Source organism: Homo sapiens, chromosome 16 (assembly GCF_000001405.40).
Source record: "Homo sapiens chromosome 16, GRCh38.p14 Primary Assembly".
Taxonomy (NCBI): Eukaryota; Metazoa; Chordata; class Mammalia; order Primates; family Hominidae; genus Homo; species Homo sapiens.
In genome coordinates, this window is record NC_000016.10 from 1404861 (window position 1) to 1424400 (window position 19540).

Genomic DNA, 19540 nt, shown 5'->3' on the forward strand with positions numbered 1-19540 from the left:
AAACGCGGGCTTCCAGCCACACAGTGGGGTATTTTTCAGACTTAGAAGGAAGGACTGGCACACTGGCTGACATCTGTAATCCCAGCACTTTGGGGGGCAGAGACAGGAGGATTGCTTGAGGCTAGGGGTTCAAGACTAGCCTGGGCAACATGGTGAGTCCCCATCTCTACAACAAATTTAAAAATTAGCCCGGCGTGGTGGTGGACACCTGTGGTCCCAGCTACTTGGGAGGCTGAGGAGGGAGGATCGCTTAAAGCCCAAAAGGCCAAGGCTGCAGTGAGTCGTGATTGTGCCACCACACTTCAGCATGGGCAACAGAGCAAGACCCTGTCTCAAAAAAAAAAAAAAAAAAAAAAAAAAAAAGGAGGCGAGGAAGGAAGGGAGGGAGGGAGAGGAAAGAAAGACAGGGAGGGAGGGAGGGAGAAAGGAAGGAAGGCAGGCAGCCAGCCAGGCAGCTGGGTACAGTGGCTCACGCCTGTGATCCCAGAACTTTGGAAGGCCAAGGCGGGTGGATCACGAGCTCAAGAGTTCAAGACCAGCCTGGCTGGTCTACTAAAAATACAAAATTTAGCCGGGCATGATAGCAGGCGCTTATAATCCCAGCTACTCGGGAGGCTGAGGCAGGGAATTACTTGAACCCGGGAGGCGGGGGTTGCAGTGAACCGAGATCGCGCCACTGTACTCCAGGCTGGGTGACAAGGGCAAAACTCCATCTCAAAAAAAAAAAAGAAACTGGAAAAAGTTTTAAGAAAATGCCTTACTCTTACGGACACCTAGGAGGTGAGAGGGAATACCTAAGAGAAAGCACAGAGCCATTGCTCACGGATGCCCAAGGAGGGGACGCACGAGCCCCCGGGGGTCGGGTGACAAACACGGTTCTCAAACTCATCCGAGACAATCAGTGAGCAGAGCCACGTGATTACACCCAGCACATGGGCACCGCTCTGCCTCACGCTCCAATGCCCTGGACCCACCGAGACCAGAGGATAGGAGGCAGCCAGATCCTGGAGTGCAAGAAGCTGCCCTTCCCTCAGGAAGCTCTCACCTGAACCCAAGGAGGGTCCACCAGACCCCCTTAACACATTCTCGAGACTGCGAGCCACATGCATCAAAATCACCTAGGAGGCCCGTGGCCCATGTGGTCCCCCCAGCTGGTGTGGACGAGGCCCGTGGATCTGCACTGCCGGCTGGTTCCCAGGGAACGTGCGAGAACCACCGGGCTTAGGAGACAGGCAGTGTACACGACTCCCTTCCAGCTTAAGGACGCAGGCATAGGTGGGGGGCCCAGAGCACAGCACTGAAACAGCTGGGGGTGATGGGAGGAACAGGCGTACTCCCATGCCGGGCTATATTGCTAATTTTTTTTTTTTTTGAGACAGAGTCTCACTGTTGCCCAGGCCGGAGTGCAGTGGCACAATCTCAGCTCACTGCAACCTCTGCCTCCTGCGTTTAAGCGATTCTCCTGCCTCAGCCTCCCGAGTAACTGGGATTACAGGCACCTGCCACCATGCCTGGCTAATTTTTGTATATTTAGTAGAGACAGGGTTTCACCATGTTGACCAGGCTGGTCTTGAACTCCTGACATCAGGTGATCCGCCTGCCTTGGCATCCCAAAGTGCTGGGATTACAGGCGTGAGCCACCGCGCCCGGCCTAATTTTTTTGTAGAGACAGAATCTTGCTGTTTCCCAGGCTGGTCCCAAACTCCTGGGCTCAAGCGATCCACTTGCCTAGGCCTCCTGAAGTATTTGGACTGCAGGTATGAGCCACTGCACCCGGATGCCTCTGAGTTTTAAAGACTGCTCGCACGTCCCAGGCCGGCCGTGGGCTTTCCTCTTGCTCCCAAAGCCCAAGCTCATCATGAGATCAGTTTAAACAGCAAATTCTACACACCCTGAAGTGAGTGGAACTTTCACCTACGCCTTAGGTCCTAAGGCATTCAACATTTTAAAATTAAATATTGCAAGAGGATCTTTTAATAGAAAGATCAGACTCCTGGCCGGGCACAGTGGCTCACGCCTGTCATTCCAGAACTTTGGGAGGCTGAGGCAGGTGGACCACCTGAGGTCAGGAGTTAAGAGATCAGCCTGGCCAACATGGTGAAACCCCATCTCTACTAAAAATACACACATACACAAAAATTAGTTGGGCATGGTGGCGCACGCCTGTAATCCCAGCTACTCGGGAGGTTGAGGCAGGAGAATCACTTGAACCCGGGAGGTGGATGCTGCAGTGAGCCGAGATCGTGTCACTGCACTCCAGCCTGGGTGACAGAGGGAGACTCGATCTCAAAAAAAAGAAAGAAAGAAAAAAAAAAGATCAGACTCCAGACCCGCCAGATACAAGCAGCAACAGTTAATCTTAGAAATGGATACTTGGAAAAGTTTCTCCTCCCACCAGTTACTCACAGAATGCACAGTGGAGACCCAGCTAGGCACACCCCGGACCCATCCAGACAGGAGTTCTGCACCTGCCGGACGACAGAGGCCTGGGGAGGCGCACAGGGCAAGCGGGAAGTGTCAGGTCTGTCAGGTGACACCGCCAAACAGAGCTCTGGAAAGAAGACAGAGGCCGGGCGCAGTGGCTCATTCCTGTAATCCCAGCACTTTGGGAGGAGAGGTGGGTGGATTACTTGAGCCCAGGAGTTCGAAACCAGCAAGACCCCACCCCTACAAAAAATACAAAAATTCAGCTGGGCGTGGTGGTGTGCGCCTATGGTCCCAGCTACTTTGGAGGCTGAGGTGGGAGGATCACTTGAGCTCAGGAGGTTGAGGTTGCACTGAGCCAAGATCACACCACTGCACTCCAGCCTGGGCGACAGAGTGAGGCCCTGTCAAAAAAAAAAAAAAAAGGACAAACCTGTGTCTGTGTGTCAATCTGGAAAAGTGGCACCACAGGAATGGGGCAAGCCTGTTTTTTCTGAGAACGAGACCCAGGGTGGCTGCAGGGCCACAGTGCAGGAGCGCTCTTCTGGACAGGGGTGGGCTGGCAGATGGCCACTCGTTCTGTGGCTACACAGCTGCAGGCCACGTGTATTTTTTTTTCCCAATGAAAATGGGCCTAGAGGCTGGGCATGGTGCCTCAGGCCTGTAATCTCAGGACTCTGGGAAGCCTAGGCATATGGATCGCTTGGGTACTCCGGAGGCTGAGGCACGAGGATCAGCTGAGTCCAGGAGGCAGAGGTTGCAGTGAGCCAAGATCGAGCCACGGCACTCCAGCCTGGGAGACAGAGCCAGACCCTGGCTCAAAAGAAAAACAAAAAAAAGATGGACCCTGGAGAGGCCCGGGGTCCCGCGGGGCGCCTTTTCTATTTCTTTACCGCAATCTGTTTAAAGAGAAAAGCAAGCGCCTGCCCCTCAGCTACACCCCCGGGGCCTCAAGGCCACGCCCACATGGGAGCTGCCCCCCCCCCCAACGACCAGGACGGTTCCCACGGGGGCGGGGCTTCACACGTGACCCGGGACAGCCAATCGCGGGCGCGCAGCGGAGGGGCGTGTCGCGCGGAACAAAAGGCCTTTCCCGAGCGGGGCGGGGCGGGGCCGAGATCACGCTGATGCCCACAGGACCGGCACGGCGTGGGGTGCAACAAGGGGCAGCCACCCACCTAGGAAAGGGTGCACAGTGGGGGCACCCACGGGGGCAGGCACCGGAGGGGGTGCCCACAGAGGATAGAGGACGCCGAGAAGTGACCTGGGGAGCCATAGGATGAGGAAGAGAGAAGAGATGACAGCAGGGGCTGTAGGAGGTCACCCTCCACGGAGGGAGGGGTGACGGCAGAGGCGTCCGCAGGAGCTGGTACCGGTGGGGCTGCCCCCAGGGGGGGCTGACAGAGGCAGCAACTGAGCAGGCAGGGGTGGAGCGAGGTGCCAGCCTGCCGTGGAAAGGAGACGCCAGCAGCGGGGGGCCCTCCTGGGGTCCCAGTCCTGCTCTGCCCCACAGCTCAGCCCCAGCACCTCCAGCCACAACCAAGAGCAACGCCTGATACGGGCTAAGGGTCTCTGCTCTCTGATACACATTCATGTGTAAAATAACAGGTTGGTAGTATCAACACCCAAAATAGAAATTTCTTTTTTTTTTTTTTTGAGTCTTGCTCTGTCGCCAAGGCTGGAGTGCAGTGGCGCGATCTCGGCTCACTGCAACCTCCGCCTCCCACGTTCACGCCATTCTCCTGCCTCAGCCTCCCAAGTAGCTGGGACTACAGGTGCCCGCCACCATGCCCAGCTAATTTTTCTGTATTTTTAGTAGAGACGGGGTTTCACCATGTAGGATGGTCTCGATCTCCCGACCTCGTGATCTGCCCGCCTCGGCCTCCCAAAGTGCTGGGATTACAGGCGTGAGCCACCGCGCCCAGCCAAAATAGAAATTTTAAAAACCAATGAACTAAAGAAAAGGAAGGCCCTGTCCTTATTCTGAACGTTCCTTTATTTACAAATTCCGAGGCAACCCTTAATGAGAACCAGAACGGGTACTTCAATAGGACAAACTGGCTATTCCCTTTGTTCAGCGATGAGAAAGTCCCACTCCCGTGGAATGAAGGATAATTATGGAGGAGAGATCTCAGGGGAGGCAGCCTGTCAGACACTTCCTAAAGGGCCGGTCGAAGCAAGTCATTCACACGCTACAAACAAAATCTTAAATAAAATAAGGAAATTTCCTTACTATGTGTGCATATACCCAGGTATCCAAAACAAAACACCAAACAGGCATCTTAGCCCCACTTACCACCCTCAATTATAAACTGTAAGCCATTCAGACAGCAGGCTAATATTTTTGTAATGATGTTATGGAACTGCTACTTGAGCACAGCTTGAAGTGACCACCTAGAGGCAGGCGCTTACTACAGCACTGTCCATCCCTGTAAGAACTGGATACCACCCTGTGCCTAGCAGTGAGGCTGAGTCCACACCAAGACACCCAGACTCCGCAACAAAAACTTATGAGGCCGGGCGCGGTGGCTCATGTCTGTAATCCCAGCACTTTTGGAGGCCAAGGCTAGCGGATCACCTGAGGTCAGGAGTTCAAGACCAGCCTGGCCAACATGGTGAAACCCATCTCTACTAAAAACACAAAAATTAGCCAGGCATGGTGGCACACGCCTGTAATCCCAGCTACTCAGGAGGCTGAGGTACAATAATTGCTTGAACCCAGGAGGCAGAGGATACAGGAGCCCAGATCGCACCACTTCACTCCAGTCTGGTAGATAAAGCGAGAGCGAGACTCCATCTCCAAAAAAAGAAACAGTTATGAAAAGATGCTTTCTCGCCGGGTGCAGGGCTGCACACCTGTAATCCCAGCACTTTGGGAGGCTAAGGTGGGAGGACTGCTTAAGTCCGGGAGGTCGAGGCTGCAGTGGGCTGTAATGGCACCACTGCACTCCAGCCTGGGTGACAAAGCAAGACCCTGTCTCAGAAAAAAAAAAAAAAGAGAGAAAAAGATGCTTTATCTTTATGCATTAAAAGCATCACCTGGCCAGGCACGGTGGCCCATGCCTGTAATCCCAGCACTTTGGGAGGCCGAGGCGGGTGGATCACCTGAGGTCAGGAGTTCGAGACCAGCCTGACCAACATGGAGAAACCCCATCTCTACTAAAAATACAAAATTAACCGGGCGTGGTGGCACATGCCTGTAATCCCAGCTACTTGGGAGGCTGAGGCAGGAGAATCGCTTGAACCCGGGAGGTAGAGGTTGCGGTGAGCCGAGATCACGCCACTGCACTCCAGCCTGGGTGACATAGAGTGCTGCCAATCAGTGCCCTGTATTCAACACTGGAGTGGGGTCAGACAGGCTGGGTGCTCGTCTTCACACTTCCAGGACCCCCACACCAGAGTTAAGCAGCAGTGGCCCTACTTGCAACTCAGGATCCCAGGTCTGGGCAGATAAGGGGCTTGACCAAGGGAAATCAGGGGCTGAGCCCAGACATCAACTAGACAAATACCTGCCTTTGAAAGCCCCATTTGCGGAAAACAGTGGCTTAAAAACCAATTCAATTATGCACTTTCAGAACCGCCTTGAAGTACATCACCATCCTAACCAAAATGGGCTGACTACATTATTTCAAGTTTAGGCATCAACCTGCCTTAACAACACTATGGCCGGGTGTGGTGGTTTGCACCTATAATCCCTGCACGTTGGAGAGGCCAAGGTGGGAAGATCGCTTGAGGCCGGGTAACACAGCGAGACTCCATCTCTACAAAAAAATTAAAAATGAGCCGAGGTGTGTGGTGGCTCACACCTGTAATCCTAGCACTCTGGGAGGCTGCGGTGGGAGGATCTCTTGGGTCCAGGAGTTTGAGACTGAGACCAGCCTGGACAATGTAGCAAAACCCCTTCTCTACTAAAAATACAAAAACAATTAGCCAGGCGTGGTGTAGAGAGTCTATAGCTCCAGAGGCTGAAGTGGGAGAATCACTTGAGCCCAGGAGGTAGAGGCTGCAATGAGCTGAGATCGTACCACTGCACTCCAGCCTGGGCAACCAGAGTGAGACTCGGTCTCAAAAACAAAATAATAAATAAAATAAAATAAATTAGCCAGGAGTGATAGAGCACTCCTGTGGTCCCAGCTGCTCAGGAGGCTGAGGCAGGAAGATGGTTTGAGCCCTGGAGGTTCAAGTTGCAGTGAGCCGTGTTCATGCCCCTGCACTCCAGCCCAGGGCACAGAGCAAGACCCTGTCTCAAAAAACAAAAACAGCCGGGCGCGGTGGCTCATGCCTGTAATCCCAGCACTTTGGGACGCCGAGGCGGGCAGATCACGAGGTCAGAAGTTCAAGACCAGCCTGACCAACATGTAGAAATCCCGTCTCTACTAAAAATACAAAAATTAGCTGGGCGTGGTGGCACGCGCCTGTAATCCCAGCTACTCGGGAGGCTGAGGCAGGAGAATCGCTTGAACCTGGGAGGCGGAGGTTGCAGTGAGCTGAGATGGCGCCACTGCACTCCAGCCTGGGTGACAGAGACTTCGTCTCAAAACAAAAACAAAACAAACACTATTTAACTAATGTACAATTAAAAACATTTCAGTATTTAAAGTTTCTAGCGTCCTTAAAAAAAATTTTTTTTAATTTATCGCCTAGGCTAAGCACTGTTGAAAAAATAAAGGAAAACAGACTTCACAAGGATCTCCGTGCTGAAAGCAGCCTTCAACAGGAAGGTCCCTGGAGAATCAGCTCCTTCCAAAAGATCAGGGGATGAAGACTTCAAGACCGCAACTGCTGCTGTCTCACCCCTAGGCAGGAATGGACCACCCTCCGCCCTCCACCCTCCGCCAGCAGCCCACAGGAAGCAAGTAGAACCTGATACCACCTCCCGCCAGTCTGTGAATATATAATCTGACTTGTATTTTCCCTGTTTTCCCATTTTGCATACTTCAGAATAAAGACATCTGTTCATAACACTATTAGGAACCTTGTAAAAAAAGAAAAAAATCAACCAAAACAAAACCTTGATTTCTTAACTTTAAAAGTGCTACATAGGGGCCAGGCGTGGTGGCTCACGCCTGTAATCCCAGCACTTTGGGAGGCCAAGGAGGGAGAATCACCTGAGGTCAGGAGTTCGAGACCAGCCTCGCCAACATGGCGAAACCTCAACTCTATTAAAAATACAAAAACTTAGCTAGGCGTGGTGGCGGGTGCCTGTAATCCCAGCTATTCAGGAGGCTGAGGCAGGTCACTTAAACCTGCACAAGGCAGAGGTTGCCGTGAGCCAAGATCAAGTCACTGCACTCCAACCTGGGTGACAGAGCGAGACTCAGTCTCGATGCTACATAAATGAGCCTGCACATAAAAACTTTACTGTCTTAAAATTAAAATAAATACGTAAACATCAAGAGACGAAACATCCCAGATATATTCTACAGCGTGAATATTCTAACAAGCTCTCTGTGTGGAAAGCAACCGACCACTACAAAACGCTTCAAAACCTGGCCGGGCGCAGTGGATCATGCCTGGAATCCCAGTACTTTGGGAGGCCAAGGAGGGAGGATCGCTGTGCCCAGGAGGTTGAGACCAGACCAGGCTACAGCAAGAACCCTGTCTCTATAGAAACACAAAACAAGGCACTTGGCCAGAGGTTGGTTCTCATGCAGGAACTGTGTCAAATCAGAGTGGGAAACAGCTAGGCACAGTGGCTCACACCTGGAATCCCAGCACTTTGGGAGGCTGAAGCAGGAGGATTGCTTGAGCCCAGAAGTTCAAGACCAGCCTGGGCAATGTAGTGAGACCCCATCCCTACAAAAACTATGCAAAATTAGCTGGCATGGCATGAGCCTGTAGTCCCAGCTACTTGGGAGGCTGAGAAGGGAAGATCACTTGAGCCTAGGAGTTGGTGGCTGCAGTGAGCCGTATCCTATCATTGCACTCCAGCCCCAGCGACAGAGCAAGACCCTGTCTCAAAAAAAAAAAAAAAAAAAAAAAAAAAAAAAAAAAAAAAGTGGGGCCGGGTACGGTGGCTCATGCCTGTCATCCCAGCACTTTGGGAGGCCGAGGTGGGTGGATCACCTGAGGTTGGGAGTTCGAGACAAGCCTAACCAACATGGAGAAACCCTGTCTCTACTAAAAATAAAAAATTAGCTGGGCATGGTGGCACATGCCTGTAATCCCAGCTACTCCGGAGGCTGAGGCAGGAGAATCACTTGAACCTGGGAGGTAGAGGCTGCAGTGAGCCGAGATCATGCCATTGCACTCCAGCCAGAGCAACAAGAGTGAAACTCCGTCTCAAAAAACAAACAAAAAAAAGTGGGAGGTGAAGCAAAATTGGTTTGAGTCACACAAGGGTTACCCCTAAAACACACATAATCCCTCGGGAACTGGCCTGAGAATAGGAAATGCCGCCCCAGCATCCCTGGTCACTAGAAAATTTCAGCGTATAATTACGACTCCCTCTGCAGGGGCCAGGTATGGACACTAAGGCGTCCGCTGAGGGTCCCGGCCGCATCCCCGGGTGGAGGCCCCCCACCTCCGCCCAGGCAGCGGCGCCCCCTCGCGGCCGCTTACTCGTCGCCGTCGGGGCACACGCCGGTGGCTTCGTTGTACTTGGAGCAGTACACGTCGGGGCTGTAGTTGAAGGTGCCGTCGCGCCTGCGGAGGGGCCTGCGGCGCCGCTGGTTGAGGAAGTGCCAGTGGAAGCAGGTGAACGGCCGGTGCTGCGCGCACTTGTGCTGTGAAAACAGGGGGCACTGCTCCGTCCTGAACTCCTTCAGGTACCTACAAACACAGACAGCGCCGCGGCTCGCTTCCGGCAGCACCTCCAGGGACTCGGACTCGTGGGCGGCGGGACCCACCGGCCTCAGGAGCCTCAACCCAGGGTCGACCCGTACTCACATTCCCGGCGGGCCCCAGGCGCTGCGCCCACCCCCATCCCGACTCCAGACGCGACCCTCACCCGACCTCGTAGCCCAGGCGCTGACCCTGGTCCCCAAGCCCAAGCGCCACCCCGGACCCTGGGCGACCCGCTGTGACCTCACGGTCGGCAGCCGGAGCAGAGGGTCCCGGTCCCCGAGCCCAGGCGCAACCCCCAACCCCGGGGCGTTCCTCCCTCCCCAGAGGCGCGTGGACCCCGGAACCAGGTGCCATCCCAGACCATGGGCGCCGCGCTCCGACCTCAGGCGGAGGCCGCCGAGAGCAGAGGGTCGTGGCCCCCCCAGCCCAGGCGCTGCGCGGAGGCCGGGGGGCGCGGGGGCGGCGGAGGCGGCGCGAGCCCCGGCGGGAGGCTCCGAGCTGCACCGGGCGCGGGCGGGGGGCCGCAGGCCGGACGGGCGCTGACCTGTAGTGGGTCGGCTTCTCAGTCTGCGGGGGGGACCCGCTCAGCGCCGCTGCCGCCGCTTTCGAAACCGACGGCATTTTCAGTCAAAACAATGCAGCGCGCATGCGCCGCGCCGGCGCCCCCGCCCCCGGATATCCCCGCGCGCCCCCGCGGCCACGCCCCCCGCGGCCCCGCCCCCAGCCCGCAGACCCCGGCCCCGCCCCAGCCCCGCGCCCCCCGCAGCCCCGCCCCCGGCCCGCAGACCCCGCCCCAGCCCCGCGCCCCGCCCTGCCCTGCCCTGCCCTGCCCTGCCCTGCCCTGCCCTGCCCTGCCCTGCAGCCCCCGGCCCGGGACGCTGGTCCTGCCCGGGGCCGCGCGTGGGACCCGCGATGGTCGCCCCTGCTGTGACATGACCCGACATAACCGTGTATTTTACATGAATTAATCACAAGAGTTGTATCTCAATAGAGCTGCTCTTCCACAAACGAACCAAGAGGCTGATGTCAGGGGGAGCCAGGCACCGGGCGGAAGGGCCAAGGGGTCCTGGCCTTTGTAGAAAGGAATTTGTTCCATTTCGAACCTTGACCTCAAAAACTTATACTCAGAGATTTATCTACAAAGGTAATTATCACAGTTATTTTGCAAACACTTGAGGTCCCCCTTCCCCCAACAGCGCAGTAGCTGAGAAAAGGGAAAACTCTAAGTGCTCTGCGTGATTTGAAACAGTGCTTCCGAAGAATTTTTAGTGGTAGGAGGCCGGGCGCGGTGTCTCACGCCTGTAATCCCAGCACTTTGGGAGGCCGAGGCCGGCGGATCAGCTGAGTTCGGGAGTTTGACAACAGCTTGGCCAACAGTGAAACCCCGTCTCTACTAAACATACAAAAATATTAGTGGGGTGTGGTGGCTTGCGCCTGTAATTCCTGCTACTCCGGAGGCTGAGGCAGGAGAATGGCGTGAACCCGGGAGGCGGAGGTTTAGTAGTGAGCCGAGATTGCGCCACTGCACTCCAGCCTGGGTGACAGAGTAACACCCTGTCTCAAAAAATAAAAAAGAAATTTTTAGTGATATGAAAAATGTGCCCATTGGCCGGGCGCGGTGGCTCACGCCTATAATCCCTGCACTTTGAGAGGCCGAGGTGGGCGGATCACGAGGTCAGAAGATCGAGACCATCCTGGCTAACACGGTGAAACCCCGTCTCTACTAAAAATACAAAAAAAAAAAAAAAAATTACCCGGGCGTGGTGGTGGGCACCTGTAGTCCCAGCTACTCAGGAGGCTAAGGCAGGAGAATCACTTGAACCCAGGAGGCGGAGCTTGCAGTGAGCCGAGATCGCGCCACTGCACTCCAGCCTGGGCAACAGAGCGAGACTCCGTCTCAAAAAAAAAAAAAAAAAAAAAAAAAAAAAACGAAAAGAAAAATGGGCCCATTTAGGTTGAAAGCAAATCACTTCCTACAGATTTGTTCCAAGTATCTCAGGGTTTTTTTTAATATTAATACTGTAAAACAACAAAAACTATCATTTGCTGGTAGGATAAATTTCTTCATAGGTTCACATTTTCTTTTTCTTTTGGCGGGGGGCGGGGGGAGGAAGGAGTTTTGCTCTTGTTGCCCAGAGTGGAGTGCAATGGCACGATCTCGGCTCACTGTTGCAACCTCCGCCTCCTAGGTTCAAGGAATTCTCCTACCTCAGCCTCCTGAGTAGCTGCGATTACAGGCATGCACCACCGCGCCCAGCTAATTTATTTTTCGTAGAGACGGGGTTTCTCCACATTAGTTAGGCTGATCTCGAACTCCCGACCTCAGGTGATCCACCTGCCTCAGCCTCCCAAAGTGCTGGGATTACAGGCGTGAGCTACCGCGCCAGCCAGGATCACATTTTCTTAATGAATTATCTCTACAAACATTACATTTAAATCTTAAAATGATAATGAAGAACATATTTTCAAGTGAAGTCAAGCAGGAAAATGAAGTCAAGCAGGAAGGGCAGGGCCTGCAAATTCTTCAGAGACGAATAAACAGATCTTGAAGACTCCCAAGGTGCTAGGAATGGAAAGGGAGTCTAGGGTGACGCCCAGGTCTCTCGCTTGCAAGGATACAGAGCAAGGGAGAAGAAACAGGTTTGGGGGAGATGAATTCCATTTTGGAGTTTAAGGAGCCTGTGAGCTGTCCAGCAGAGGTGTCTAGGGAGCCTGCTAAAGCTAGGAAACAGATTTGGAGCCTTAGGGTTTAGGAATTTGGGGATCTTTGCTGTAAAGGTATGAGTGAAGACACCTGCTGTTCCTCCACACCCTGGGGGCATCTTCCTTGAAGAAATCAAAGGAAACTGATGTAAGACTTAAGGATTGAAAGTATCATGTTTTTTCATGCTTTGGAAGAAATGTTCTTTAAAGTCTAGGGTGGTACCTGAGTTATATAGACAGTTCATCAGCTTAGACGTGACCATTTGGTTAACACCTTCCTTGAAAGAATTTTTTGTTTTTGTTTTTGAGATGGTTTGGTTAACATCTTCCTTGAAAGAATTTTTTTTTTTTTTTTTTTTTCTGAGACAGAGTCTCACTCTGTCGCCCAGCCTGGAGTGCAGTGGCATGATCTCAGCTCACTGCAAGCTCCACCTCCCGGGTTCAAGCCATTCTCCTGCCTCAGCCTCCTGAGTAGCTGGGACTACAGGCGCCCGCCACCACGCCTGGCTAATTTTTTCTATTTTTAGTAGAGACGGGGTTTCACCATGTTAGCCAGGATGGTCTCGATCTCCTGACCTTATGATCCGCCCGCCTCGGCCTCCCAAGGTGCTGGGATTACAGGCATGAGCCACTGCGCCCGTTCAAGAATTTTTGTTTTAAAACAATTTCCGGCTGGGTGCAGTGGCTCACACCTGTAATCCTAACACTTTGGGAGGCCAAGGTGGGTGGATTACCTGAGGTCAGGAGTTCAAGACCAGCCTGGCCAACATGGTGAAACCCCGTTTCTACTGAAAATACAAAAAAAAATTGCTGGGCGCAGTGGTGCACGCCTGTAATCCCAGCTACTCAGGAGGCTGAGGCAGGAGAATTGCTTGAACCCGGGAGGCAGAGGTTGCTGTGAGCCGCGATCGTGCCACCACACTCAAGCCTGGGTGACAGAGCGAGACTCCGTCTCAAAAAAAAAACAAAAAAACAAAAAACAATTTCCACCTCCTGCCCAGCCATTTGTCATCTTAGGAATCGCTGCAGCTGCGTCTGTTCTAGCATGCTTACAATGGTCTCCCTCTCAAATGCTTATCTGGGGAGGTCAGTGTGCCATGTACCCTGGGGAAAATAAAAGCTACAGCCCAGTTGGGAAAACAAGACAAACACACTACAAAAATAGTTAAATACAACTGGGCGCAGTGGCTCCTGCCTGTAATCCCAGCACTTTGGGAGGCCGAGGTGGGCAGATTGCCTAAGGTCAGGAGTTCAAGCCTGGCCAACATGGTGAAACCCTGTCTCTACTAAAAATAGAAAAATTAGCCGGGCATGGTGGTGCACGCCTGTAATCCCAGCTACTCAGGAGGCTGGGGCGGGAGAATTGCTTGAACCCCGGAGGCGGAGGTTGCAGTGAGCCAAGACTGTACCATTGCACTCCAGCCTGGGCAACAGAGCAAGACTCCATCTCAAAAAATAATAATAAATACTAACTGTACTGAATTAACTGTTCACCTATCAACCTGCTCTGTTGCCATCCTTTGAAAACTCCAGGAGTAGGGAAGATCCGCCCACCATCCCCAGCTGGCCTTGGGTCTGTCTACGGCACAGGTGTGAGGTCAGCAACTGGAAAAGCCCTCCCAGATCGCTGCCCTGGAGGCACTTGGGATCTGCTGCATGTCTCTGAAACATGTATAGGTATATATGTATGAAAACAATTGACCGGGCGCAGTGGCTCATGCCTATAATCCCAGAACTTTGGGAGGCCAAGGCGGGCAGATCACTTGAGGTCAGGAATCTGAGACCAGCCTGGCCAACATGGCGAAACCCCGTCTCTACTAAAAATACAAAAATTAGACGGGTGTGGCGGTGCGTGCCTGTAATCCCAGCTACCCTGGAGGCTGAGGCAGGAGAGTCGCTTGAACCCAGGAGGTGGAGGTTGCAGTGAGCCAAGATGGAGCCACTGTACTCTAGCCTAGGTGACAGAGCAAGACTCAATCTCAAAAAAAAAAAGAGAAAACAATCTGGGGCCGGGCGCGGTGGCTCCCATCTGTAATCCCAGCACTGTGAGAGGCCGAGGAGGAGAGATCACTTGAAGTCAGGAGTTTGAGACCAGCCTGGCCAACATGCCAAAAGCCCGTCTCTACTGAAAATTTAAAAATTATCCGGGTGTGGTGGCACAAGCCTGTAGTTCTAGCTACTCGGGAGGCTGAGGCAGAAGAACTGCTTGAACCCAGGAGACAAGAGGTTGCAGTGAGCCAAAATTGTGCCACTGCACTCCAGTCTGGGAGACAGAGTGAGACCCTGTCTCAAAAATAAAAACAAAACAAAACAAAACAAAAAAACAAAAAACAATCACTTAGGTAACCCAAAATAGTGCCCATCATTTGTGAAAAGAAATACTCACTAGTTGTATTCTACTCAGAAAATGGTTGCCTTGCTTAAAAAGTTTTGCAGAAAACTGCAAAAGTTCCTCATTTCTGGTACTATTCGGTAATATATATGTAGGTTTCTTTCCTCAGTTCCCACTCTGGAAAAAAAAAAAAAAAGGAAAACGAAACTTTTTTTTTTTTTTTGAGACGGAGTCTCGCTTTGTCGTGCAGGCTGGAGTGCAGTGGCGCGATCTCGACTCACTGCAAGCTTCGCCTCCAGGGTTCACGCCATTCTCCTGCCTCAGCCTCCGGAGTAGCTGGGACTCCAGGGGCCCGCCACCACGCCCGGCTAATTTTTTGTATTTTTTAGTAGACACAGGGTTTCACCGTGTTGGCCAGGATGGTCTCGATCTCCTGACCTCGTGATCCGCCCGCCTCAGCCTCCCAAAGTGCTGGGATTACAGGCGTCAGCCACCGCGCCCGACCGGAAAAGGAAACTTTTAAAAATAGCTGCTGGTGCAACTAACTTACGTGCTCTGGTAAACAAGAAGAGATTAAAATAAAAAACAATAGCTGCCCAAATACCCCCTTTTTAAAAACTAGATGCAAAAAAAGGGAATCATCTAATCCCATATTATAAAATTAAAATTTATTTTCATTTGTTGTTGTGTAAAACTCACATGTGGAAGTGTTCCTTGCACAGGCCGCAGCATGCAATACAGTTTCACACTTCTGCCAGATATTCTATCTCAGAAAGCAAATTACCTGCAAACTAACACTGGATGACAAGTGTCACCAGAAGTGCTTTGGAAACATGATTATGTTATACAAAGACTTGGCAAATCCAACAGCATACAGTGCAACTGAAACCTTCCCCAAGGATCTGAGAAGTCTTGCCGATGGAATCCTTGGACATCAAGAGCCAGGCGAGGAGCAGTTTCCGATCTGCTGAGATTCTGCTCCGCCTTCACGCGAATCAGCATAGCCAAGTGCCCCATCCACCAGCCAAGTCCTTCAGTGCTGAGGACGCACGCATAGCCAGGACAGTCACGGGCAAACGTGACATCAAATCCGAAGGGCGGCTGTCGGCTCCCTTCCTGCCAGCCCCAGCGGGCACCCCGTCAAGTTCTCGCTCTGTAGGCAGCTGGAGTCTCAGGCTCCTCAGAACGATCACTGGGCTCTGGCACCTCTCCCCACACCTGTCTCAACCACTGGTCCGCCTCGCTCTCCTCCCTCAGGTAGCACCAGATGATCAGCGCCACGAGGAAGCAGCTGAGGGGCAGCACCTTCCACCAGGGCCGCTGATGTCCCTTTCCCATGGTATGGCCCACCGACCAGCGGTGAGGGTTGGCTTTGCTGGAGGAAAACTCAATGGGGCGGTCAGGGTCGTCCTCTTCCTCGGCGGCAGGGTGGGCCCGATCCCGGGAACCGGGCAACGGATGAAGGCTTCGGGAAGCCCAGCCTATGAGCCTCAGCGCCCGGACGGCCCTGGAAGAGAGAGAGCAGTAAGCGCTCCGCCCGCCCGCCGGTGTCTGCCCTCGGCCCTCCGAGACCTTGAGGAGCTCACCCGGCCGCCGGGGCACACAAGACACGATTCATTGCTGCCTTGACTCCTCGACTGACGCCTTGGCGCGCCGTGATAGCGTCACTTCCGTCGCCGGAAACCGGAAACCGGGCGCCATACCAGGCCTCCGCTCACGACTACAGAACGTGGTCCCAGTAGCGCAGCGGAAATGACGTTCGGCTGCGAAGAGCTCTTTCCGTCGCAGGCCCGGAGTGCGCGATGGCATGCCGGGAAATGTAGTTCTCCGTCCCTTTCGAATAGGACCGACACCCCGGTCCCTGGCCCCGAAGAGAGGCGGGCGCCGCGGGGGCGGACGTTGTCCTCAGAGAGTTGTCTGAGTTTGCCTCGGAGCAGTTCTGAACCGTCATGAAGGTGCGCGGGGCCTGGTTGGGGATCCGCGCCCTCAGCCCTGCCCGCCTGCCCTGGGCTGGGCGCCCGCACCTCTCTGCCGGCTTCCCCGAAGGCCGTGGCACCGCCCTATTTTTTTTTTTTTTTTTTTTCCGTTTAGTTCTTTTCGTGAGACAGGGACTCTCTCTGTCGCCCAGGCTGGAGTGCAGTGGCGCGATCTCACGTCACTGCGGCCTCTGAAACCGCCTTTGCAAAAATTATCACTGAGGAAATGACAGTGGAAGAGATGAGACCTAAGGGGCTCCGTCGTGCTTCCCACCCTTAAGCTGTCCTGGTTCATTCCTGGGCGTGGGCAGAGCTAACTTTGGGAAGGATTTCAGTTCATGGTTTCACTCTGAATCAAAGTCAACAGCCCTTTCCAGAAAAAACCCCCGTCTTGCCTGAAGACCAGTCTGCCTTTGCAGGACTAATAAATCAGCTGCAAAATTAGAAATTGGCCGGGCGCCGTGGCTCACGCCTGTAATCCCAGCACTTTGGGAGGCCGAGGCGGGCAGATCATGAGGTCAGGAGATCGAGACCATCCTGGCTAATACGATGAAACCCTGTCTCTACTAAAAATACAAAAAATTAGCCGGGCGTGGTGGCGGGCGCCTGTAGTCCCAGCTACTCGGGAGGCTGAGGCAGGAGAATCGCTTGAACCTGGGAGGCAGAGGTTGCAGTGAGCCGAGATGGAGCCACTGTACTCCAGCCTGGGCGACAGAGCGAGGCTCAGTCTGAAAAAAAAAAAGAGTCTGAACCTCCCCAAATTGCTCCTGGGGATAACATCACTATTGTAAAATCTAAGATCAGGCCGGGTGTGGTGGCTCACGCCTGTAATCCCAGCACTTTGGGAGGCCAAGTCGGGTGGATCACGAGGTCAGGAGTTTGAGACCAGCCTGGCCAGTATGGTGAAACCCTGTCTCTACTAAAAATACAAAAAGTAGCCTGGGGTGGTGGCGCTCGCTTGTAGTTCCAGCTACTTGGGAAGCTGAAGGAGAAGAATCGCTTGTACCCTGGAGGTGGAAGTTGCAGTGAGCCAAGATCATGCCATTGTGCTCCAGCCTGGGTGACGGAGCAAGACTCTGTCTCAAAAAGCACAACAACAACAAAAACCTAAGCTCAAAGATCAGTGCCTGAAATATTTAGCAGAGCGTGCACTGGATGGATCAGCTGGTACCACCCAGACCGGTCATCTGGCCCAACCGGTTCTGCCATGCCCGCCAGGAACAGAAGAGTCTGAACGTGAGTCCATCTCCAACCTGACCAACCAGCACTCCCCACTTCCCAAGCCTCTACCCTCCAAATTATCTTTAAAAATTCCTATCCCCAAATGCTCCGGCTGACTGATTTGAGTAATAATAGAACTCCTGTGTCCCGCACAGCCAGCTCTGCGTGAATTACTCCTTCTCTATTGCACTCCCCCTGTCTTGATAAATTGGCTCTCTCTAGGCAGCAGGCAAGTTGAACCCATTCGGCACTTAGACCTCTGCCTCCCGGGCTCAAGTGATTCTCCCACCTCAGCTTCCTGACTGGCTGGGACCACAGGCGCCCACCACCAAGCCTGGCTAATTTTTGTATTTTTAGTAGAGACGGGGTTTCACCATGTTAGCCAGGCTAGTCTCGAACTCCTGACCTCAGGTGATCCGCCGGCCTTGGCTTCTAAAAGTGCTGGGATTATAGGCGTGAGCCACCACGCCCAGCCTTTATTTATTTACTTATTTATTTATTGAGGAGGAGTTTCATTCTCATCGCCAGGGTTGGAGTGCAATGGTGGGATCTAGGCTCACTGCAACTTCTGCCTCCCGGGTTCAAGCGATTCTCCGGCCTCAGCCTCCCAAGTAGCTGGGATTACATGTGGGCACCACCACACCCAACTAATTTTTTTGTGTTTTTAGTAGAGATGGGTTTTCCCCATGTTGGCCAGGCTGGTCTCAAACTCCTGACCTCAGGTGATCTGCCCACCTTGGCCTCCCAACGTGCTGGGAGGTGAGCCACTGCACTCCGCTAATTTTTTTGTATTTTTAGTAAAGACGGGGTTTCGCCATATTGCCCAGGCTGGCCTCGAACTCCTGGCATCAAGTGATCCACCCACCTCAGCCTCTCAGAGTGCTGGGATTATAGGCGTGAGCCACCATGCCCCTCTCTGTTTTAGGAGAGACTCTAATTCCCCTAAGTTGGGCCTCTACCCTACTCCCGTTCTTTATTTTTTATTTTATGTTTTTGAGACGGAGTCTTGCTCTGTCGCCCAGGCTGGAGTGCAGTGGCGCGATCTCAGCTCACTGTAAGCTCCACTTCCCGGGTTCATGCCATTCTCCTGCCTCAGCCTCCCGAGTAGTGGGACCACAGGTGCCTGCCACCACGCCTGGCTAATTTTTTTTGTATTTTTCAGTAGCGACGGGGTTTCACCGTGTTAGCCAGGCTAATTTTTTTTGTATTTTTTAGTAGCGACGGGGTTTCACCGTGTTAGCCAGGATGGTCTCGATCTCCTGACCTTGTGATCCGCCCACCTCGGCCTCCCAACGTGCTGGGATTACAGGTGTGAGCCACTGTGCCCCGGCCCCACTCCCATTCTTTACCGGAGACCTGCCACTTACCCAGAGTCGTCCAATCAGGGCTGCAGAGTCTTCTATTTCCTTTGGGTCTGGGGTCCCCTGAGTATTGTCCCTTCAGGGTTCACCAGAAAGATGTTACAGGACCCCAACACTTTCCCAAAGTTAGCCTTTGGGAAGGGGGCTTCCACACGACAGTCTCTTCTGTGGTTCCCCAGAAATATGTTACAGGAAAGGGGTCCTGATCCAGACCCCAAGAGAGGGTTCTTGGATCTCACGCAAGAAAGAAGTCACGTCAAGTCCATAGAGTAAAGTGAAAGCAAGTTTATTAGGCAAGTAAAGGAGTAAAAGAATGGCTACTCCAGGGCATGGTGGTGCGCGCCTGTAATCCCAGCTACTCCGGAGGCTGAGGCAGGAGAATCACTTGAACCTGGGAGGCGGAGGTTGCAGTGAGCCTAGATCGCACCATTAAACTCCAGCCTGGGCAACTCCATCTCAAAAAAAAAAAAAAAAAAGAATGGCTACTCCATAGACAGAGCAGCCTCACCAGTGCCTGAAAAGCCCGAACCTTGGCGCCTTTGGGGAGACTGATGTGTGTAATGACTCGTCTCCTGAGTGGCGGGGCCTGCCTCAAGTCAATTAAAGTCTTTCTTTACTGCAATGCTGTGGTCTCAGTGAATTGATTTTGTCTGTGCAGCAGGCGGGACGAAACCTTCCGGCGGCTGCATTAACCCCTCACCATGAAGGCTTGACAAGGAGCACCCCAAAGCAACGGG

At 53.3% G+C, this 19540-nt stretch overlaps 2 protein-coding genes and 1 long non-coding RNA gene across 21 annotated transcripts in view, besides 20 other annotated features; 1 reads left to right on the forward strand and 2 right to left on the reverse strand.

Moving 5' to 3' along the window:
* The window catches only part of UNKL (unk like zinc finger), a 51500-nt gene extending 41656 nt beyond the window's left edge, over nucleotides 1–9844 (reverse strand). For 10 of the 19 annotated variants that reach the window (XR_007064897.1, NR_160278.1, XR_007064896.1 and 7 more), the window contains exons 1-2: nucleotides 9755–9844; nucleotides 8986–9195 (exon numbers count right to left, since the gene is read on the reverse strand). Coding sequence is in view for 9 of the 19 variants with exons in the window: in NM_001193388.4 (NP_001180317.2) it covers nucleotides 8986–9195; nucleotides 9755–9831 (287 nt within the window). In the remaining 10 variants the exon portion in view is untranslated. Of the gene's footprint in view, nucleotides 1–8985; nucleotides 9196–9591 lie in introns of all 19 variants that reach the window. The other 9 variants (XR_007064900.1, XR_007064899.1, XR_007064898.1 and 6 more) reach the window with 4 other exon arrangements.
* Nucleotides 3312–3489: a silencer, noted in NCBI's record as "fragment chr16:1458173-1458350 (GRCh37/hg19 assembly coordinates)". NCBI's record gives its function as "represses an EF-1alpha promoter that drives an FKBP-Casp9 reporter gene in an ReSE screen in K562 erythroleukemia cells {active_cell/tissue: K562}" and the evidence as "EXISTENCE:reporter gene assay evidence [ECO:0000049][PMID:32094911]".
* Nucleotides 3312–3537: a biological region, named in NCBI's record as "ReSE screen-validated silencer GRCh37_chr16:1458173-1458350".
* Nucleotides 3368–3417: a silencer, noted in NCBI's record as "silent region_6977". NCBI's record gives its function as "represses an Ori minimal core promoter by ATAC-STARR-seq in GM12878 lymphoblastoid cells {active_cell/tissue: GM12878}" and the evidence as "EXISTENCE:reporter gene assay evidence [ECO:0000049][PMID:35858748]".
* Nucleotides 3468–3537: a silencer, noted in NCBI's record as "silent region_6978". NCBI's record gives its function as "represses an Ori minimal core promoter by ATAC-STARR-seq in GM12878 lymphoblastoid cells {active_cell/tissue: GM12878}" and the evidence as "EXISTENCE:reporter gene assay evidence [ECO:0000049][PMID:35858748]".
* UNKL-AS1 (UNKL antisense RNA 1) lies at nucleotides 3534–7391 on the forward strand. Its single transcript, NR_188570.1, has 2 exons — nucleotides 3534–4032; nucleotides 7069–7391. It is a non-coding gene; the product is annotated as an UNKL antisense RNA 1 (long non-coding RNA).
* Nucleotides 3808–3957: a silencer, noted in NCBI's record as "silent region_6979". NCBI's record gives its function as "represses an Ori minimal core promoter by ATAC-STARR-seq in GM12878 lymphoblastoid cells {active_cell/tissue: GM12878}" and the evidence as "EXISTENCE:reporter gene assay evidence [ECO:0000049][PMID:35858748]".
* Nucleotides 8745–9319: an enhancer, noted in NCBI's record as "H3K27ac-H3K4me1 hESC enhancer chr16:1463606-1464180 (GRCh37/hg19 assembly coordinates)". NCBI's record gives its function as "activates a minimal SCP1, AML or CMV promoter by ChIP-STARR-seq in naive H9 embryonic stem cells {active_cell/tissue: H9 hESC(naive)}" and the evidence as "EXISTENCE:reporter gene assay evidence [ECO:0000049][PMID:30033119]".
* Nucleotides 8839–8988: a silencer, noted in NCBI's record as "silent region_6980". NCBI's record gives its function as "represses an Ori minimal core promoter by ATAC-STARR-seq in GM12878 lymphoblastoid cells {active_cell/tissue: GM12878}" and the evidence as "EXISTENCE:reporter gene assay evidence [ECO:0000049][PMID:35858748]".
* Nucleotides 9320–9894: an enhancer, noted in NCBI's record as "H3K27ac-H3K4me1 hESC enhancer chr16:1464181-1464755 (GRCh37/hg19 assembly coordinates)". NCBI's record gives its function as "activates a minimal SCP1, AML or CMV promoter by ChIP-STARR-seq in primed H9 embryonic stem cells {active_cell/tissue: H9 hESC(primed)}" and the evidence as "EXISTENCE:reporter gene assay evidence [ECO:0000049][PMID:30033119]".
* Nucleotides 9419–9468: a silencer, noted in NCBI's record as "silent region_6981". NCBI's record gives its function as "represses an Ori minimal core promoter by ATAC-STARR-seq in GM12878 lymphoblastoid cells {active_cell/tissue: GM12878}" and the evidence as "EXISTENCE:reporter gene assay evidence [ECO:0000049][PMID:35858748]".
* Nucleotides 9895–10469: an enhancer, noted in NCBI's record as "H3K27ac-H3K4me1 hESC enhancer chr16:1464756-1465330 (GRCh37/hg19 assembly coordinates)". NCBI's record gives its function as "activates a minimal SCP1, AML or CMV promoter by ChIP-STARR-seq in primed H9 embryonic stem cells {active_cell/tissue: H9 hESC(primed)}" and the evidence as "EXISTENCE:reporter gene assay evidence [ECO:0000049][PMID:30033119]".
* Nucleotides 10009–10128: a silencer, noted in NCBI's record as "silent region_6982". NCBI's record gives its function as "represses an Ori minimal core promoter by ATAC-STARR-seq in GM12878 lymphoblastoid cells {active_cell/tissue: GM12878}" and the evidence as "EXISTENCE:reporter gene assay evidence [ECO:0000049][PMID:35858748]".
* Nucleotides 10179–10248: a silencer, noted in NCBI's record as "silent region_6983". NCBI's record gives its function as "represses an Ori minimal core promoter by ATAC-STARR-seq in GM12878 lymphoblastoid cells {active_cell/tissue: GM12878}" and the evidence as "EXISTENCE:reporter gene assay evidence [ECO:0000049][PMID:35858748]".
* Nucleotides 10470–11043: an enhancer, noted in NCBI's record as "H3K4me1 hESC enhancer chr16:1465331-1465904 (GRCh37/hg19 assembly coordinates)". NCBI's record gives its function as "activates a minimal SCP1, AML or CMV promoter by ChIP-STARR-seq in primed H9 embryonic stem cells {active_cell/tissue: H9 hESC(primed)}" and the evidence as "EXISTENCE:reporter gene assay evidence [ECO:0000049][PMID:30033119]".
* UQCC4 (ubiquinol-cytochrome c reductase complex assembly factor 4) lies at nucleotides 14892–15887 on the reverse strand. Its single transcript, NM_001272051.2, has 2 exons — nucleotides 15832–15887; nucleotides 14892–15752 (listed from the first exon to the last, which is right to left on the reverse strand). Exons 1-2 carry the CDS (start codon nucleotides 15861–15863, stop codon nucleotides 15386–15388), a joined length of 399 nt encoding a protein of 132 aa, NP_001258980.1. The 5' UTR covers nucleotides 15864–15887; the 3' UTR covers nucleotides 14892–15385.
* Nucleotides 15178–16033: an enhancer, noted in NCBI's record as "H3K27ac hESC enhancer chr16:1470039-1470894 (GRCh37/hg19 assembly coordinates)". NCBI's record gives its function as "activates a minimal SCP1, AML or CMV promoter by ChIP-STARR-seq in primed H9 embryonic stem cells {active_cell/tissue: H9 hESC(primed)}" and the evidence as "EXISTENCE:reporter gene assay evidence [ECO:0000049][PMID:30033119]".
* Nucleotides 15178–16060: a biological region, named in NCBI's record as "H3K27ac hESC enhancer GRCh37_chr16:1470039-1470894".
* Nucleotides 15521–15590: an enhancer, noted in NCBI's record as "active region_10223". NCBI's record gives its function as "activates an Ori minimal core promoter by ATAC-STARR-seq in GM12878 lymphoblastoid cells {active_cell/tissue: GM12878}" and the evidence as "EXISTENCE:reporter gene assay evidence [ECO:0000049][PMID:35858748]".
* Nucleotides 15601–15650: an enhancer, noted in NCBI's record as "active region_10224". NCBI's record gives its function as "activates an Ori minimal core promoter by ATAC-STARR-seq in GM12878 lymphoblastoid cells {active_cell/tissue: GM12878}" and the evidence as "EXISTENCE:reporter gene assay evidence [ECO:0000049][PMID:35858748]".
* Nucleotides 15901–16060: an enhancer, noted in NCBI's record as "active region_10225". NCBI's record gives its function as "activates an Ori minimal core promoter by ATAC-STARR-seq in GM12878 lymphoblastoid cells {active_cell/tissue: GM12878}" and the evidence as "EXISTENCE:reporter gene assay evidence [ECO:0000049][PMID:35858748]".
* Nucleotides 16034–16887: an enhancer, noted in NCBI's record as "H3K27ac hESC enhancer chr16:1470895-1471748 (GRCh37/hg19 assembly coordinates)". NCBI's record gives its function as "activates a minimal SCP1, AML or CMV promoter by ChIP-STARR-seq in primed H9 embryonic stem cells {active_cell/tissue: H9 hESC(primed)}" and the evidence as "EXISTENCE:reporter gene assay evidence [ECO:0000049][PMID:30033119]".
* Nucleotides 16177–16579: an enhancer, noted in NCBI's record as "nonconserved acetylation island sequence 122". NCBI's record gives its function as "activates a minimal heat-shock promoter by reporter assays in Jurkat T cells {active_cell/tissue: Jurkat}" and the evidence as "EXISTENCE:reporter gene assay evidence [ECO:0000049][PMID:17135569]".

What these genes read in the sequence shown, in the direction of transcription:
- UQCC4 (NM_001272051.2), bottom strand. Translation starts at nt 15,863, where the DNA reads ATGAATCGTGTCTTGTGTGCCCCGGCGGCCGG. An exon ending in TTGTGTGCCCCGGCGGCCGG is followed by an intron (nt 15,753 to 15,831) that starts GTGAGCTCCTCA and finishes TCTCTCTTCCAG; the next exon opens with GGCCGTCCGGGCGCTGAGGC.